The sequence below is a fragment of the Homo sapiens genome, chromosome 4 (genome assembly GCF_000001405.40).
Source record: "Homo sapiens chromosome 4, GRCh38.p14 Primary Assembly".
NCBI classification, from domain to species: Eukaryota; Metazoa; Chordata; class Mammalia; order Primates; family Hominidae; genus Homo; species Homo sapiens.
Window position 1 is genome coordinate 59,162,794 of NC_000004.12, and position 21,112 is coordinate 59,183,905.

Genomic DNA, 21,112 nt, shown 5'->3' on the forward strand with positions numbered 1-21,112 from the left:
AAGCTTCATTAGTGAAGGAGAAATAAAATTATTCTCAGACAAGCAAATGTTAAGGAAATTCATTACCACTAGACTGGTCTTATAAGAGGTTCAAGTCTACAAAACAACTAACTAACAACAAGATGATAATATCAAAATTTCACACAGCAATACTAACTCTGAATTTAAGTTATCTAAACCCCCCAAGTAAAAGGCATAGAGGGCTGGATAAAAACACAAGACCCACTTGCCTGCTCCCTTTAAGAGACCTGTCTCATATGTAAGAATACCAACAAGCTCCAAGTAAAGGGATAAAGATCTACCATGCAAACAGAGCAAAAAATAAGAGCAGGAGTTGCAATTCTAATACCAGATAAAACAGACCTTAAATCAACAAAGAAGGGCATTACATAATGAGAAAGGGTTCACTTCAACAAGAAGTGTCATAAATATATACACCCGCAATATTGGGGCACCCAGATTCATAAAACAAGTTGTTCCTGACCTATGACAAGATATATAAAGCTACATAATAATAGTGGGAGACTTCAACAACATATTGACAGCATTAGACAGATCATCAAGGTAAATACTAACAAAGAAATTCTGGGCTTAAACTCAAACTTTGACCAATGGGACATATTAGACATTTATAGAGTACTCCATCCAACAATGACAGAGTATATATTCTTCTAATTTGCACATGGAAGATAGTCTAAGATTGACCACATGCTCAGTCATAAAGCAAATCTCAATAAAATTCAAAAAAACTGAAATCATACAAAGCACACTGTCAGAACACAGTGCAATAAATATAGATATCAATACTAAGATATCTCACTACTACACAAATACATGGAAGGTAAACACCTTACTCCTAAACTCTGGTGAACAGCAAAATTATAGCAGAAATTTCAAAAATTTTTAAAATTAAGAAAAATAGAGACAAAACTTGTACAGTTTTTAGGATATTCTAAAGCAGTGCCAAGTGGAAAGTTTATAGCCCTAAATGACTTCATAAAAAAATTAGAAATAGCTCAAATTAACAATCTAACCTTGTACTTAGAGGAACTAGAAAAAAAAAGAAAAGGAAAAAGAAAAAAAAGACCAAACCAACCCTGGAGGAAACAGAAGAAAATAAATAACTAAAATAAGAGGATTGAATGAAATTGATATGTAAAATTCCATATAAAAATCAATGAAACCAAGAGCTCGTTATTGAAAAGAATAAACAAGAGCAATAGACCACTACATAGATTAGCAAAGAAAACACAAAGAGAAAATCCAACTGAGCACAATCAGAAATGATAAAGATGACATTACAACCAATTCCACAGAAATTCAAAAGGTCCTTAGAAGCTATTATGAACACACTTACACACACAAATTAGAAAACCTGGAAGAAATTGATAAATTCCTGGAAACATGCAATCACTCAAGATTGAAACAAAAAGAAAGTGAAAACATTAACAGACCAAAAACAAGTTTTTAAATTGAATCAGTAACAAAAACACTTACCAAACAAAAAAAGACCTGGGTCAGATGAATTCACAATTGTATTCTACCTGATATACAATGAAAAATTCCTACCAATCCTACTGAAACTATTCCAAGAAATTGAAGAGTAGAGGCTTCTCCCTAACTCATTCTATGAAGCCAGCATCAGCCTGATACCAAAATTTGGCATAGACACAGTGAAAAAACAAACTTATGGTCAATATTCCCGATGAACATAGATGCAAAAATCCTCACAAAAAACTAAGAAAACTAAATATAGTAACACATCAAAAAGTTAATTCATCATGATCAAGTAGACTTTTTTCCTGGGGTGCAAGGTTAGTACAGCATACACAAATCAATAACATGATTTGTTACATAAATAGAATTAAAAACAAAACCCATATGATCATCTTGATAGATGCAGAAAAAGCTTTTTATAAAATCAAACTTCCATTCATGATTTTAAAAACCCTCAAGAAACTAGGCATCAAAGGAAAACATATCAAAATTATAAGAGTCATCTATGACAAATTCATAGCCAACATCAAACTGAATGGGCAAAGGCTGGAACCACTCCCCTTGAGAACTGGAACTTGGCAGGGATGCCCATTCTCACCACTTAACATAGTACTGGAAGTCCTAGCCAAAGCAATCAGGGAAGAGAATAAAGTAAAAGGTATCAAATTAGAAAAAGAAGAAATCAAATATCTCTCTTTGCTTATGATATAATTCTTTACATAGTAAACTCTAAAGACTATACCAAAAAACATCTAGAAGTGATAAATAACTTCAATGAAGTTTCAAGATACAGAATCACTGTAGAAAAATTAGTACTATTTATATATACAACAACAATGTTCTAACTGAGAGCCAAAACAAGAAGTAAATCCCACTTACCATAGCCAAAAAAACAGTGAAGTACCTAGGAATATATCTGAAGATCTTTGCAAGGAGAACTAAAAAACACTGCTGAAAGAAATCAGAGATTACACAAATAAATTGAAAAACATTCCAAGCTCATAGATTGGAAGATTCAGCATCATTAAAATGGTCATACTGCTCAAAACAACTTGCAGATTCACCACTCATTCTCTCAAACTGCCAATGTAATTTGTCATAGAATTAGGAAAAAAAAAAACTATTCTAACATTTATATGGAACAAACAAACAAAAAAAAACCTGAATACCCAAAGCATTCCTGAGGAAAAAGAACAAAGCCAGAGGCATCACATTCCCCATCTTCAAACTATACTATAAGGCTACAGTAGTCATAACAGCATGAAACTGGTTCAAAAACAGACAAATAGACCAATGGAATATATAACCCAGAAATAAAGTCCACACACACAACCATCTCATCTTCAAAAAAGTCTACAGAAATAAGCAATGGGGAAAGGATTTTCTGTTCAATAAATGGTGCTGGGACAGCTAGCTAGCCATATGCAGAAGAATAAAATTGGCCCCCTACCTTTCACCATATACAACAATCAACTCAAGATGGGCCAGGCGTGGTGGCTCACGCCTGCAATCTCAGCATTTTGGAGGCTGAGGAGGGTGGATCACCTAAGGTCAGGAGTTTGAGACCAGCCTGGTCGACGTGGTGAAACCCCATCTCCACTAAAAATACAAAAATTAGCCAGGTGTGGTGGCACGTGCCTGTAGTCCCAGCTACTTGGGAAGCTGAGGCAGGAAAATCGCTTGCAGTCAGGAGGCGGAGGTTGTAGTGAGCTGACATCACGCCACTGCACTCCAGCCTGGGTGACAGAGAGACACTCTGTTTCAAAAAACAAAACAAAACAAAACAAACAAACAAACAAAAAAAACAGATGGATTTAAAGACTTAATTATAGGACGTCAAACTATAAAAATCCTAGAAGAAAACCAAGGAAATAGCTTTCCTGAGATTGGCCTTGGCAAATAATTTTCTCCAAGTCCCCAAAAGCAATTCCAGTAAAATAAAGGGAACTACCTACACTAAAAAGCTTCAGCACAGCAAAAAAATTATCAGCAGTGTAAACAGACAGCCTACAAAATGGGAGAAAATACTCTCAAACTACATATCTGACAGCAGTCTAATATGCAGAGTTTATAAGGAACTTAAACAAATCAATAAGTAAAACATATAACCCCATTAAACATAAGCAAAGGACATGAACAGACACCTCTCAAAAGAAGATATACAAGTGGTCAACAACAAGCATAAATGCTCAACATCAGTAATCATTAGAGGAATGCAAATAAAAAAACCACAGTAAAAGAGGATTACACGCCAGTCAGAATAGTTATTAATAATTCAAAAAATAACAGCTGCTGAGCAACTGCAGAAAAATGGAAATGCTTTTGTATTGTTGGTGGAAATTTAAATTAGTTCAGCCGTGATAGAAAGATTTCTCAAAGAACTAAAAACAGAACTACCATTAGACCCAGTAATCCTACTACTGGGTGTATAAACAAAAGGAAACTTAATTGTTTTACAAAAACCACACATGCATGCATATGTTCATCATAGGACTATTTACAATAAAAAAATCGAATCAATCTAGGTGCCCATCACCAATGAATTGAATGAAGAAAATGTGGTACATATACACCATGGAATACTATGCAGCCATAAAAAGAACAAATTATGTCCTTTGCAGCAACATGGTTAGAGCTGAAGGTCATTATCCTAAGTAAATTCATACAGGAATAGAACACCAAACACAATATTTTCATCTGTGAGATGAAACATTGTGGGAGCTAAACTTTGAGTACACATGGACATAAAAATGGGAACAATAAACACTGGGGACTAATAGAGTAGGGAGGGAGGGAGATGAACACGGGCCAAAAAACTACTTGTTGGTTATTATGCTTACTACCTGGATGAGGGAATCCTAAACCTCAGCATCACACCATCCACCCATGTAGCAAATCTGCACTTGTACCCCCTGAATATAAATGTTGAAATTATTTTAAAACATCAAATCTTTATTCATTCAAGTTTTATCATAAAATTATAGCAATTGTTCAGGGGCAGTGGTTCATGCCATAATTCCAGAACTTCGGGAGGCTGAGGTGGGCAGATCACTTGAGGTCAGGAGTTGGGGACCAGCCTGGACAGCATGGTGAAACTCCATCTCTACTAAAAATACAAAAATTAGCCAGGTGTGGTGGCCCATGCCTGTGATCCCAGCTACTTGGGAGGCTAAGGCACGAGAATTGCTTGAACTTGAGAGGCAGAGGTTTCAGTGAGTCAAGATGCTGCCACCGCACTCCAGCCTGGGTGACAGAGTGACACTCGGTCTCAAAACAAAACAAAACAAAAAATAGATTATAGCAATTGACTCGTATCTTCAGCCTCCTTCTAATTTGAGTTATCTTGCCATTTCCACCACCTGTGCAGTTATTTCCTCCACTGAAGTTTTGAACCCCTTCAAGTCATCCGTGAGGTTTGGGATCAACTTCTTCAAAACTCCTGTTGATTTTGTTATTTTAACTTTTGTCCAGATCCACCAGAGGAATCACTATCTATGGCAGATATAGCTTTACAAAATGCATTTCTTTAATGAGAATTGAAAGTCAAAATTACTTTAAGATTCATAGGCTGCGGAATGGATGCTGTGTTAATAGGAATAAGAATAGCATTAATCTCCTTATATATCTTCGTCGGAGCTCTTGGGTGGCTAGGTGCCTTGTCAATGAACAGTAATATTTTGAAATAATTCTTTTTTTTCAGCTTTCTACATATGGCTAGCTAGTTTTCCCAGCACCATTTATTAAACAGAGAATCCTTTCCCCATTTCTTGTTTTTGTCAGGTTTGTCAAAGATCAGATGGTTGTAGATGTGTGGTATTATTTCTGAGGGCTCTGTTCTGTTCCATTGGTCTACATCTCTGTTTTGGTACCAGTACCATGCTGTTTTGGTTACTGTAGCCTTGTAGTATAGTTTGAAGTCAGGTAGCGTGGTGATGCCTCCAGCTTTGTTCTTTTGGTTTAGGATTGACTTGGCAATGCGGGCTCTTCTTTGGTTCCATATGAACTTTAAAGTAGTTTTTTTCCAATTCTGTGAAGAAAGTCATTGGTAGCTTGATGGGGATGGCATTGAATCTATAAATTACGTTGGGTAGTATGGCCATTTTCGCAATATTGATTCTTCCTATCCATGAGCATTGAATGATCTTCCATTTGTTTGTGTCCTCTTTTATTTCCTTGAGCAGTGGGTTGTAGTTCTCCTCAAAGAGGCCCTTCACATCCCTTGTAAGTTGGATTCCTAGGTATTTTATTATCTTTGAAGCAATTATGAATGGGCATTCACTCATGATTTGGCTCTCTGTTTGTCTGTTATTGGTGTGTAAGAATGCTTGTGATTTTTGCACATTGATTTTGTATCCTGAGACTTTGCTGAATTTGCTTATCAGCTTAAGGAGATTTTGGGCTGAGACGATGGGGTTTTCTCAATATACAGTCATGTCATCTGCAAATAGGGACAGTTTTACTTCCTCGTTTCCTAATTGAATGCCCTTTATTTCTTTCTCCTGCCTGATTGCCCTGGCCAGAACTTCCAACGCTATGTTGAATAGGAGTGGTGAGAGAGGGCATCCCTGTCTTGTAGCAGTTTTCAAAGGGAATGCTTCCAGGTTTTGCCCATTCATATGATATTGGCTGTGGGTTTGTCATAAATAGCTCTTATCTTCTTGAGATATGTCCCATCAATACCTAATTTATTGAGAGTTTTTAGCATGAAGGGCTGTTGAATTTTGTCAAAGGCCTTTTCTGCATCTGTTGAGATAACCATGTGCTTTTGTCTTTGGTTCTGTTTATATGCTGGATTACGTTTATTGATTTGCGTATGGTGAACCAGCCTTGCATCCTAAGTAGTAGGTCCAACAGCGGGCTTAAAATATTCAGAAATCCATGCTGTAAACGAATGTGCTATCATTCAAGCTTTACTGTTCCATTTTTAGGGCACAGGTAGAGTAGCTTTAGCATAATTTTTGAAGGTCCTAAGATTTTTGGAATAGTACATGAATATTGAGTTGAACTTAAATCACCAGTTACATTAGCCCCTAACAAGAGAGTCAGCCTGTCTTTTAAAGCTTTGAAGCCAGGTATTGACTTTTCCTCTTTTGCTATGAAAGTACAAGATGACAGACATCTCCTTCCAATTGAAGGCTGTTTTACTTACATTGAAAATCTGTTGTTTAGTGTAGCCACCTTAATCAATTGTCTTAGCTGGATCTTCTGGATAACTTGCTGCAACTTCTACATTAGCACTTATTGCTCTGGCTTGTACTTTTCTGTTTTCCATATGGCTTCTTTCTCTAAATCTCATAAACTATCCTCTGCTAGCTTCCAATGATTCCTCTGCAGCTTCCAAACTTTTGTCACCCTTCACAAAATAGAAGAGAGTTAAGGCCTTGCTTTGGATTAGGCTTTTCCTTAAGGGAATGTTGTGAATGGTTTGATCTTCTAGCCAGACCACTCAAACTTTCCCCATATCAGCAATGAGGCTGTTTCATTTTCTTATTATTTGTGTGTTTACTGTAGTACCACTTTTTAACATTTTTTTTGAGACACAGCCTTGCTGTATTACACAGGCTGGAGCTCAGAGGCCCGATCACAGCTCACTGAAGCCTCAACCTCCCTGGCTCAAGTGTTTCTCTCACCTCAGCCCTCCTAAGTAACTGAGACTACAGGTATGCAACACCATAGCCGGCTATTTTCTTTTTTAATTTTTTGTAGAGATGGGTATTGCCATGTTGCTCTTGCTGTTCTTGAACTCCTGGGCTCAAGTGATTCATCCTCCTTGGCCTCCCAGAGTGCTGGGATTGCAGGCATGTGTAGTAACACTTTTAGTTTACTTCAAGAACATCTCCTTTGCATGCACAGCTTGGCTAACTGTCTGGTGCAAGAGGCCTAGCTTTCAGCCTATCTTTGCTTTTGACATACCTTTCTCATTAAGCTTAATCCTTTCTAGCTTTTGATGTAAAGTGAGAAATGTGCAACTCTTCCTTTCACTTGAACACTTAGAGGCTAATTATAGAATAATTAATTGACCTCATTTAAATATTTTGTCTCAGGGAATGGGGAAGTCTGAAGAGACAGAGAGAAACAGGAGAATGGACAGTTGGTGGAGGAATTAGAACACAAAAAAAATTATTAAGTTTGCCATCTTATATGGGTGCAGTTTGTGACACCACAAAACAATTACAATAGTAAATCCAAAGATCACTGATCACAGATCTCTATAAAAGATATAATAATAATGAAAATATTTGAAATATTGTGAGCATTAACAAAATATAATTCAGAGATATATGCTGTTGGAAACATTGTGTCAATAGACTTGCTAGATGCAGGGTCGCCACAAACCTTTAATTTATAAAAAGCACAATATCAATAAAGCACAACAAAGTGAGTCACAGTAAGATGAGGTATGCTTGTACTTTCACGTTGGGAAATTCTGTAGATAACAACTAAAATTTAATTAATGTTAAAAATGACATTACAGTTTATCAAAGTACAGGATACCTTGTATAATTACATCAACCTAAGATCAAAAAGCAAACTTTTGAAGATAAATTTGAGGTGATAGTCTAGTTATGCACAGATGGGTGTTATTGAATTTGTGGTTATTTTTCATCCTCTCTGGAGGGTAAGTATTGAATGCTACATTTCTCAAATGTCAATCAATGCACTATACTACTCACATCAAGTCAAGGCTATACAACTCTCCATTCTTATAGTTCAGTTGTCTGGATTGCTCTACATTGATTTAGTGTGCTTTGAAAACTCAGGAAGGTTTTGTGATTTGGATCTTTTTATGCATTTTATGCAATCCACTCATTCATGTAAAAATATTAGCTAGAGTTACAGTGTTTTAAATTTAAGAGAGATAGAGGAAAGAAAAAAATTACCTCTGACTCTTGTTCTTTTTTAATATGCATGGCAATTTGGACAAATATTTAGAATGGTAGTTAAAGAACAAATTACTCTTCCAATGGCATTACATTACAAAACCATGAATTACATAATATGGAGTAATCATAATTTTGTGGAAATTCATTACAACAGTTTTTATCTACCGAATTATTCAAGTCAAATACTTGGAGGACATATTCAACTCTTCATCTTTCTATATCTGATAAACCATCAAATCCTACATTCTCTTTCTAAATATCTTCCTAATACACTGTTTTCTACCAAGCTGACTATTGCATGTGCAGGACTTGGGTAAATGTTTATTTTAGGGTCTCTATTTTATAAGCAATTTGTTTTAAAAATTATTCATCAGCCTATGAAAAGTATAGTGATTTATCAATAAGGTTTTTGAAAAATGGGTAGAGAACATGTGCTTGCATATGTGTTAATTTTCTCATTAGTCTATATACAAATTATTTGTAATAAGGCACTATATCTTTTTGTTTAGGTCCAGAAATCTTCCTTTATTTTATTTTATTTTTTTGGCAAATGTGTCTTTGTTTGTTGGGAACAGGCCCCCAAGTCTGGCCATAAACTGGCCCCCAAACTGGCTGTAAACAAAATCTCTGCAGCACTGTGACATGTTCGTGGTGGCCATGATGCCCACGCTGAAGGTTGTGGGTTTACCAGAATGAGGGCAAGGAACACCTGGCCCACCCAAGGCAGAAAACCGCTTAAGGCATTCCTAAGCCACAAACAATAGCATGAGAGATCTGTGCCTTAAGGACATGTTCCTGATGCAGATAACTAGCCAGAGCCCATCCCTTTGTTTCAGCCCACCCCTTTGTTTCCCGTTTTAGTTACCCTATAATCTATAGAAACAATGCTTATCACTGGCTTGCTGTCAATAAATATGTGGGTAAAACTCTGTTCATGGCTCTCAGATCGGAAGACTGTCAGCCCCCTGATTTCCCACTCCACACTTTACATTTCTATGTGTGTGTCTTTAATTTCTCTAGTGCTGCTGGGTTAGAGTCTCCACAGCCGAGCTGGTCTAGGCAATTGTGGCTAACGTCTTACCTCCTACTGAGAGAAAAAGCTAACAAGCCCAGTATTACAATGCAATAGCTCTTCAGAACATGTTAGTATTGAAATAATTTGGATCTTCTTGCCTCTGCAAATCCCTAATACCAATTATTTAATACTGGTTACATCCTCATATTATTATTTATAATGTTTCACCATCCATTGTGCCACCTTCTTCCCAATTCTTGGCTTCCAATTGATTTTCTCAAAAATTGTTACTGTACTTAATTGATGATGAACACATATGCAAGCCTTGTCCAGGGTTTGCAGAAAAATGTGAGTTATTATTTATTTTCTGTATATGCTACTTTAATATAAGATTAAGATAAATATGGAATAACATATTGCCCAATCTTCTTTTCTACTGAATGCATTATGCTATAATCACTGCATTCCTAGAATTTGATGTCTTTAAATATTAATTGCAACCCCTCTCTCTTGCACAGTTACTTGGAGGTGAAAGTTGTAAGACAAAGAGTATGTGGGAAGAATGAAAATAACAGTTCTATTGAAACAAGGAATGAAAACTCTGCCCCTAAGCTGACATGGTTTATGACTGACGATGTCACCAAATTGTGGAGAAGCACTCATTAACATAACTGAACAATAGTTTTGAAAGCTCTTGTACAAGATACAAGTAGCCATAAGACTTACTGGCCTGGTGTGTGGAGACTTCAGAGGAGGTAGGGCAACTCTTCTAGGTGCCATGAGCAAGGTAAGGTATGCTTGGACTACCCCAATTAAGATTCTGTAGTTCAGTTCACTCCAAGTAAAGCTTATTTTGTCATCCAGGGGGCATGTGCAATGTCTGAAAACATTTTTAGTTGTCACATAGTGGGAGGTTGGGCAGGGAGGCAAGGTTGCTACCTGTGTCTAGTGGGTAGAGGACAGTGATGCTGCTAAGCATCCTGCAGTATGCAGACAGCCTTCTACAACAAGGAATTATCTAGCTTGCAATGTGAATAGTGTCAAAGTTAAGAGAACCTGCTGTAGACCCAAGGCCCCACTGAAGTACAAATTCTGATGGGTAAGAGCTAAATAAATGGTTCACATGCACTGTTTGAACCTAAAGGTCAGCAGTGGACTATTAAATTCTTAGTTGTCTAGATTTGCCCTCTGTGCAACACAACTATAATCCCAAGTCAGGATGTCAGCACCCTACCATTCCAATCTCATATGAGTCTGAAAACAAAATCACATGATCCACCCTTGTCATGAGGCCCTTGGACAACCTCATGGTGCGAGTTCCAGAGCTTCTTGTAAAATCAACCCCATGGCCTATATAGGTAATTGAGGATAAAAGAAAGTCCTAAAGGGGAAACACAGGTCACAGGGCCCAGGTAGGTCATGATCTGAGCTCCAGATGCTCTGCTATCCTAATGGTGTTGCTATTCTGGACACTGTAGGTACCAGAGAGAGACTTAGAAGATCTTAAAGAGGGCACTTCAAGTTCAAGCTCTCAGAGCCACGTATCATGCTACCAGTTCTCCTTTCCACTCCCTGAAACATCTCCATTTCTTATCTCAATGCCTACAGTATCCTTCTCCTAACTGTTCTCTCAAAGACACATCTGCCATCCCTTATTTCATTCTTTTCATTTCAGCAAGAGTGAGTTCTCTCACATAGTCATTTAATTCTACTTAAGATCATTCAGCAACTTCCCACTTTTCTCAGAATAGAAACATAAAATCCTTAACTTAATCTAAAGGAAATTCAGCTGTTGTCTAGCATTCTAGTCTTATTTCATTTGTATTTTCCCTTTTACCTCTCTATTTTACCACCATACTGCACTTTTGTGTGTGTGTTCTTTAATAAATTATGCTTATTTTTAAAAAAGAGGAAGCGGCAAGGCCATCCACCACTCACTGCATGTCCTTTATCTGCACTTGAGATTCCTTCTAATAGGTACTTTTCCCTGGGAGATTTCATTTTGTCTCAGACTTAGTGAGGTCCAACTGTCACTCACATTTGTAGCACCTCCCACTTTATAATCCCTTTATAATGACCTGGTCAGTGCTTATCATCCCCCTTACACTGCATGTTCTGTAAGAGTAGAGAATAAATCAGAGAAGCTCACTGTACGACCAACCCACAGATATCATGGAAGCTGGACAACTATAGGTGGAGAGTTAATGAATAGTTGGAAGCTAAATATTTGAATGGATTCTTTTCTGTTTGATTTAGCATTAAGTAGACTCCATTTTATATTGCATTTTATTATTAAAACCTACAAATATGCAGAAATATAAAAGGAGAAATATGATAAACCCTGAATTCCCATCAATATCTAACAACTGTCACCTTATCTTATATTTACTTCATCTATTTTGCACTAATATTTTAAAATAATTTCATGTTATGTACCCCATAGTACTTCAGTATGAATACCAAAAAAAGCATTCTCCTAAGAATACTATGCCACATCTAAAAAAACAAAAAATAATAACTTAATATTATCTAACTCCCAGAGTATATTCTTATTTCTCCAGATTTTCCCAAAATATCTTTTCCAGTTCATTTCAAACCAGTATTGAGCCATATCCACATACTGCATTTGACTCTTATATCTCTTAATTCCTTTTGATATCAGCAATGGCTAAATCTTTTCACAACATTAATTTATTGAAGCAAACAATTGTCTTGTAGAATGCCCCACCTTCTGAATTTGTCTGATTTATTTCCTATATGCCTTTAATGTGCTCGTTTTCATTTGTTTTTAATGCCAATTGGAAGTTAAATCTAAAATGTTGTTTGGGTTCACTTGAAACATTTTTTCTGGTCAAGAATACTTCAGAGCTGATAATACTTTATTCACACTGTAACATGTCAAGATACATTTCATGTCTGATCATGTTACTATTTCTGGTGCTGAGCTGTATCAGTGGTAAAAGGACTCTTCCAATTGTACATACCCTATCGTAGAGAAAAATTAGAACGTTAAGATCAACTATGAAAATAAAATAATTTAATGAACTTATCTATTTATTTTTATGCTTATGGATTTAAAGGTACAAGTACAGTTGTGTTCTGTGGCTATATTGCATAATGATGATGTCTGGGATTTTAGTGTGGCAATTACCCAAGAAGTGTGTACATTGTAGCCAGTGGGAACTTACTGAATATTTACTGAATAAGTTTCACTTAGTTTTTATATTTTCCACTGCAAGTCTTTATGTTTTAAGTGTCCAACTCACTGAGATTACTTCCTATACGAATATTTGGAAAATTCATATAAGCACACTCAGAAAGTCCGAGGGGGAAATTTTTAAATATATGTGATATAAAACATAAATAAATTCACAAATAAAAGGCCAGATGTTATATAATCAGATCAGAATACAAACACATCTGAAAACATGTTTCTAGTCAATCACTGACTACAAATTATGGTTTAAGGGATACAATTAAGGCTCATTACTATACAACTGGGTTTAGAGATCTCTACAAACTAACAAAGCCATAACAGGTTTACAAGCTAATTAGTGCTCTTAACATTGTCTCATGCTGATCAAGCACTTTTGCTTTTGCTTATTTCCCTTATATGCTATTCAAAAATAAAACTTAGATTCTGAACAAATTAATTAACCCTCTTACTTACTTGGTTGTTTCAGCCCCATTAAACTAAAGAAATCAAATCACCTCATTCTTAAAGTCTTGAGAAGATGAGATAAACTTAAAAGCTTTCAACTGTGAAAGAACAGAAACAAAGCTCGCTGGAGAGATGGGATCTGAATAGTCAAATCATTTTGAATAGGCACTATGTACTTGGGAACTTCTGCATGAGCAAGTGATTCTTGGATATTCCTGTAAATCCATTCTGAATATGGTAAGTAATACTGAAGAATAACTGTTTTCGAGTGCTTTATCTGCATGTATCAAAATAAAAAAGATTTGTGCCAATGTGCATTTGGTGCCAATGTACATTTGTCTTTTAGTCCCAAAGTCGGGACTTGTCTCTTCTTCCTTCTCCCTCCTCTTACTCATCCTTCTCCACTTCTGAAGTAAATAGAAACATACCAAAACATTTCTTTTAACTAGACTCTGTAATGCGAATTTATATGCATCTTGTTATAAAAGCCTTTGCCATAAATCTGATTATTACTTTTATGCACATTTTACAGACAATGAAACTAAAGCCCCCAAAAGCCAAAAGAAACTGCCCAAGGTGACATAGCTGCTGAGTGATGGAATGGGGACTAGATCAAACTCTAAAATCAAAGAGCATGCTCACAATTACCCATTAAGAGAACTAAAGGAAACAAAATTCTCCAATCTATTCTCCCTGTGCACATTAAAATTAAAACAATGGTGTTGCATTTTTCAAACAGTTATGTACTGATATTATACCAAGATGCAAGCACGGGTGGATTCCTTAATTGTAATAGGTATAAGTAATATAATGCTAAAATGCAAATTTTGAATCCCATTCTGTCTTCCAACTATTATCTCTGCCAAATTCTTTCACAATTCTACATTAATACATATTACACATTTTGGAAAATTTAATATATAAGGCTACTGTTTGTATTATATTTGAAATTAGTTATGTTAGCCATTAATATTTACACTGTTTCACGATCCTAAAAATATCACTATCTTGTCTTACTAAAAAAAATTGAAAATGGAGTCATTAAAAAAAAGTGAAAAAAAAACCTCTCAAAGAGTAAAAAATCTAAAAGCTATGCCTTTAGGAGGAGGTGAAAATTAACTAGTGTCATCTCAAGTATGAACACACATGGCTTCTTCACACTTAATTAGAAAACTAGAAGCACTTAAGCCAAAGCATTCAAAAGAACAATGTGTCAGAGTCAGAATTAGTTATAATCGGTTAGCTTGTGCTATTAACATTGCCTAGCTTCTTTTCTGAGTCTACACAGTAGATGTCTGTTTTTCTCTTTTTTTTTCCCCAACATCTAATTTATCAAAAACTCAGCCCCAATAAAAGACATGGTTGTGTTACAGTGTTATATGAAAGAAAAATACTTTGTTGGAGTTAGGGTTCCCCTAGTGACTAGTTAGTGAGCTTGAACAAGTGAAGTAAATTCCATATGACTCAGTGAACCTCATATCTATAGTATGAAAAAAAAAAACCATGGTACTTCTTTGTGTTCTTTTGTCACAGATTAATATTTTATTTTCTTACACATAAAATAAGTTTAGGAAATATTCATTTAACCTGAAATATTAATTTAAAAAATGCATTTGGTATTACAGTTATCCATGTACTAATTTGCCTGAACCTAGAGAAAAGTGTAAAAAGTGTTTACAATTTTGAAAGTCCTAGTGGAAAGATTTTGTTTTTACTTAGTTTTATTTTATTTTACTTTTTTTGTAATTTTATTTTTTTCACACCACATAAATACAATGACACAGGATACCATTTTTACAGCTGTGCATTGTATACTCTTAAATTATAAACTTTTAAATACATTTTAAATGATAGAAAAGTATATACAAACATAGATATACACAACTTTCAATCTATAATTATTTGTTTTTAAGAGATTATATATATAATTAGAATTGGAAATATATATAATAATTCTATATCTCTATAATTCTTTTTTATATCTATATAATTCTTATTACTCATTACTTCAATAATTTCAATATAATTATTTCAATAACAATTAATTAACTATAGTTCAGGTATGTTGCCAAATACTGTTTGGTCCAAGAATAACCTTTGCAGTTTAAATCAACTAATTTTTGTCACCAAAGAAGTAAGAAAAATTGTATTTCCATGAATGATGTGTTATAATAACTATCTTAATCATAATGATTTTAGTAATCAACAATGATAGATAATTATTCAATACGCACTAGACACTGTAGTAAGCACTTTTCGTGATTGTTTCTTCTTAATAACACTTCAAAGGTAAGTATTATCATCCTCAAACACACATAGTAGTTAAAGTATATATTTTGTCTTACACTCATTTATTTGTACCAGGCAGGGGAGGCTTCAGAATTGGTTTGTGATGGTGATGGGCTTCAGCATAACACCTCAAATTCACCAATTACTATAATTAAATATATACATTAACCATAAACAATGCATCTATCAAACAAGTACAAAAATCTTAACTTGTCAATTGTGTCACTGAAGCCCACTTCTAAGTTACTACATAAAAATTCTCAACCTCCCATAGTGAGAAGATGTAATCCCAAGTGTTATTTCTCCACATCACTAAATTCCCAGATTAGCTAGCCTTTTGGATTCTTATAAAGGCACTGCAATCCAGCCTGGGTGATGGAGTGAGACTCCATCTCAAAAAAAAAAAAAATTTCTTTCATTTTATTTTCCTTATACGCTTTACATATTCTGTTAGTCCAAGAAAGGAACTGCAGGTCTCAGTTACTTAAAGCAAATTCCTGGCTGAGAGCTGGCAAGTAGGAAGACATCTCAATCATTCAACTGCAAGGACTTGAATTATTTGAATAACTTGGGTGAGCTTGGCAGATGAAGCTGGGTCCCAGAGGAGGACCTCAATACTGGTCACCATCTTGATTAAAGACTTGTGATACCTGAAAAAAAAAAATCTAGCTAACTTGTGTCTAGACCCCTAACCCAGAAAAACTGTGAGAGAAATGTGTGTCTATGTTTGTGTTAATATTTTATGGAACAATGGAAAATAAATACATTTAATTTGGTGTAGTTCAGCATTGATTTTATTTTTACAAACTGATCATTGTCTAGATATGTTAATTTTCTGGGTTAAAACTAAATTGTGAGTAGAATTAAAATATGCACCTCCTCCATATCTCTTTCGGTAAATATGAAGAGAGAGATGAAGAAAAAGAAATAGATACTGAAGCCATCCCTATAAGCTCTATAAAATTAATGAAAATGATGGTAGGGGAAAAACGAAAATGAACTAAGCTTGCAGCACATTCAGCATTAATCGAGGTTAGCTTGCTCTCTTATCTGCTTCTTCATGGTTGTTCACTGCCTCTAGTCATAGACTTGATGGCAGCAAAGGCCCTTCTGGAGTGCCCACCACCATGATGTGGCCTAGGCTACGTGCTCAGTGGAGGTGGTGGGAGCCAGGAACAGGTGGAAGTTCCACTCCCTTCTGAGTTGGAGTGGTGGGAGCCCCATCCTCCTAGGTACAGCTGCAGCTGCCCAGCCTCAGCTGCAGACCCAGATATCCCTGCACTCTTGGGGACCCAGGAAAAACCCTGCCCCAATAGGCTCAGAAGTGCCTGCTCCCACTGCCTGGTCTGTCCCCACTCCTTGTGCCTGCTCCAATTTAGGGGCAAAGTGGAGGCCAGGCACTGTTGTGTTGACACACCAGTCCCCTGCCACCTTAGCCCCCTCTGGACTTGGGCACCTACAAGCACTGGAGGGAGATCAAGGGAGTTCTGAGGGCAGCTTGGCATGGGCCTGCAGGCACCCCTCAGCATGAACAGCCTTGGCACCATGGACAGTAGGTTGATGGTGGTGGGAGGCTGATAGGCTCCTGTGCAGAAAGGGGTGGGTCTCTGGTGAAGCCCCACATTCAGGCCACAGGGTCGGGTGGCCAGTTCCATGGACTGAAGTGAGAACTTACGGTGCTTTCTCCAGGACCATCCATGGCCACCAACGGGTTAATCAGCATGCACTTCCTCCCCTCTGAAGCCCATAAAACCCCCTGGTTTTATGATTTCAGCAGCGATGATAGGACAACCTCTCTGCAGAGAAGAGCTACACACTGTGGGTCTCCTCTCAGCTGAGAGCTGAGCAAATGTCAGGACAACCTGTCTGCATATAGGATCTACCGACTGTGGGTCTCCTCTCAGCTGAGAGCTGAGCAGACATCAGGATGATCTGCTTGGAGAAAGGAGCTACCCACCCCGGGTCACCTCTCCACTGAGGGCTGCACAGACATCAGTATGACCTGCCTGCAGACAGGAGCTAGCCACTTCAAGTCTCCTGAGAGCTGTTCTGTTGCTCAATAAAGCACCTCTTTACTTTACTCACCCTTCAGCTGTTCGCAAACCTCATTCTTCCTGGACCTGCCGAATGGTGGGACTGAAAGATCAGTAACACAAACACGGCTGAAACATGCTCCTTGTTAGCCAGGCTGTGGGTGACGAAAAGGAGAGAAGAGAGAGAAGAGCTGCAGCACTTCAGCGAGCTCAGACCTAGGATTATTGATGTCAGCTGATCTGAAGAACCCCACTGACACCAGCTGTTCTGAAGGACCGCACAAGGAGCTGATTCATTAAAAATGAAGATTCTGGCCAAGTGCGGTGGGTCACGCTTGTAATCCCAGCACTTTGGGAGACCGAGGCGGGTGGAACACGAGGTGAGGAGTTTGAGAGCAGCCTGGCCAACACAGTGAAACCCCGTCTCTACTAAAAATACAAACATTAGCTGGGTATAGTGGCGGACACCTGTAATCCCAGCTATTTGGGAAGCTGAGGCAGGAGAACAGCTTGAATCCGGGAGGCAACTGAAATTGCAGCATTTAACTCCAGCCTGGGTGACAGAGCTAGATTCTGTCTCCAAAAAAAAAAAATATATATATATATATATATATATATATATATGGTTTCCACGTCCTGATGATTTCATCCCTTTTACCTCAACCAATCAATGATCTCAGTTTTCCAGCCCCTCATCCTCCATGATCCCCTTAAAAATCGCAGCCCAGAACTCCTCAGGGCAATTGATCTTTCTCTGCTGTAAACACTTCTGTCTCAGTATTTTGATCCATTACTGTGCAGTGGGCATACAAACCTGTTGGTTTTATAACAAGACAAGAGAATAAAGCAAATATATAGTATTCTGATACTTGAACATAACTGTAGGCTCAATTAATTTGAAAGATTAGTGGAGCTTGAGTCAGGAAGGGATCTTTCTTGGTTCTTCACCATTAGAAACTTGTTGAGTTTCTGAAAGTAAAACCCCAAGAAGTATGGAAGTCACTGTAAGACTGTTACCCTCAAGGGCTTCTTACTTTCACTATAACCTACACTCAGTCCCCAGCAATTCAAGGGAACCAAAATTTTTTAATTTTTATATGCAGCATCTTTCTCCTTTGTAAATCCACTATCAAACAATTTTAGATTAATTTATAGATTTTTACCTACAGAACTTATCATTTTTGATGCATAAAATGCAATTTATATGTAAATGAGTTACAAATTAAAGTTTTCTGGTTTACATAAACTTATTTTGGAATAGATATAGGCTTAGGGACAAAATGTGATGACACTAAGGTGTCACCATATACCCTGCACCCAGTTTCCCCTATTATTTACATCTTACACTAGTGTTGTATGTTTGTTACAATTAATGAACCAATATAGATTCATTATTAAAGTTTACATATTCTTCAGATTTTCTTGGTTTTTCTTAGTTTCTAACTAACATCCTTTTTATCTTCCATTATCCCATCCAGAGTCCCACATCACATGTAATGATGATGTCTCCTTACATTCCTTTGGCTGTGTAGTCTAGGTGTTCTTTGTTTGATGATATTGACAATTTTGAGGAGTAAAGTTCAAAATAAAGCTTTTCAAAGTAAAACTGTTTTTTAGAATGTCTATCAATTAGGATTTCTTTGATGTTTCTCTCATGATTAGACTGGTATTATGCATTTTTGAGAGGAAGACTACAAAGATTAAATGCCATTTCATCACATCATTTCAAAGGTACTATCAACATGACTTATCACTACTGATGTTCACTTTTATTACCTGACCTCAGTAGTGTTTTTCAAGCTTCTCCACTGTAGTTAATATTTTTACCCAATTATCCATACTGTACTTTTTGGATGGATGTTACTATGCAAATACAGGAAATAAAATTTAAAAGTAGATAAGTTGAGTTTCATAAAAATTTAAAACTTTTTCTTGCTATAAATGGCACTTCAAAAAAGTAAAAATGCAACTCAGAACAGGAGAAAGTATTTGCAAATCATATACCTGATAAGAGACTAATATACCTAATATGTAAAGAACATGTACAATGCAATAATAAAAAGACAACCAATTAAAAATAGGAGATAGAAATTAAAACCACTATAAGATATGATTTTTACATAAACTTGAAAAGCTAAAATAAAAAAGAGATAACAAGTTTTGATGAGTATGTGAAAAATTGGAACCCTCATTCATTGCTAGTTGGAATATAAAATGGTACAGTAAATTTGGAAAACTTGTACTATTTCTGAAAATGTTAAACATACTCTTACCATATTACCCAGTAATTCCACACCTTGGTATATACCAAAGAGAAACAAAAACATATATCTACACAGAAACTTGTATATGAATGTGGAGAGCAGCATTTTTCACAATACCTATAAAGTGGCAGCAACCTAATTGTCCATTAAATGATGAATGGATAAACAAATGTGCTATATTCATACAATGAAATGTGATTTAGCTATGAAAACTAATGAAGGACTGATTCATGCTGCAATACAGAAAGATCTTGAAAACATTAGGTTAAAAAAGCCAATCACAAAAACTTATGAAACATCCAGAGTAGGCAGATATACAGAGACAGAAAGTAAGCTAGCAGTGTTTTTTGGGGGATAGGGTATGGGGACTAACTACTAGTGGGCATCAGTGTTTTCTTTTTTGAAATGATAAAATTCTAGAATTAAATTGTGTTGAAGATTGCCAAATTTTTTGAATATGCTAAAATATTTAACATTTAGTTATATACTTAAATCAGTAAGTTTGTAACATTTGAATTATGCCTCAATATAGCTATTTAAACAAGAAAAAAGAAGTAAGGATGAAGGGACAAAACAAAGACAGAAGGAAGAAAGGCTGCTTCTTGAGCACACAATATGAGCCAGATATGATGCTGGATGTTTCCCCCAACAGTCATAATGCTCATGACAAACAATAGGTTTTGCTACCTTTCATTTATGCAAAAGAAGATTGAGTCTTAGAGAAGTTAAATGACTTTCTAAAGGCTACTAGATGGCATATGATAAAATCGTGATTCACACTAAGGTCCAATGAGTAACAAAACCCATGATCGTTCAATCACACAGGTGCATGAATTATTTCACCAACATAAACTGAGTATAAAGAAATTCACTTGGCTGGGCACGGTGGCTCACACCTGTAATCCTAGCACTTTGGGAGGCTGAGGCAGGTGGATCACCTGAGGTCAGGAGTTCCAGACCAGCCTGGCCAACATGGTGAAACCCCGTCTCTACTAAAAATACAAAAATTAGCTGGGTGTGGTGACAGACATCTGTAATCCCAGCTACTCAGGAGCCTGAATGCAGGAGGCAGAGACTGCAGTGGGCCGAAATTGTGCCATTGCACTCCAGCCTGGAAGACAAATTTGATACATCGAAAAGTTTTATACAATAAGTAAAAATGTTGGGAGATGAAAGGAAGTATTGAAACAGCAGATAATGTAGATACATTTTTAAAAAGTATTTGATTTGTGGAATGCATAATGATCATTTTGCTTCGTTTACTCCGAGTAAAAAATAAGCAAATGATTTTGTGGGACTACGTGAACTCCTACTGATTCTGAGAATTACAGTTATCAAGAAATACTCATTTCAACTTCAGAAACATGTTAGTGGTGTCAGACAAGATCTTGAAAATATTATTTTGATTTCAACTTCTGTAAGAAAGTAAAAACATAGAGAATATTTATCATTTTAAAGTGGGTGTAATT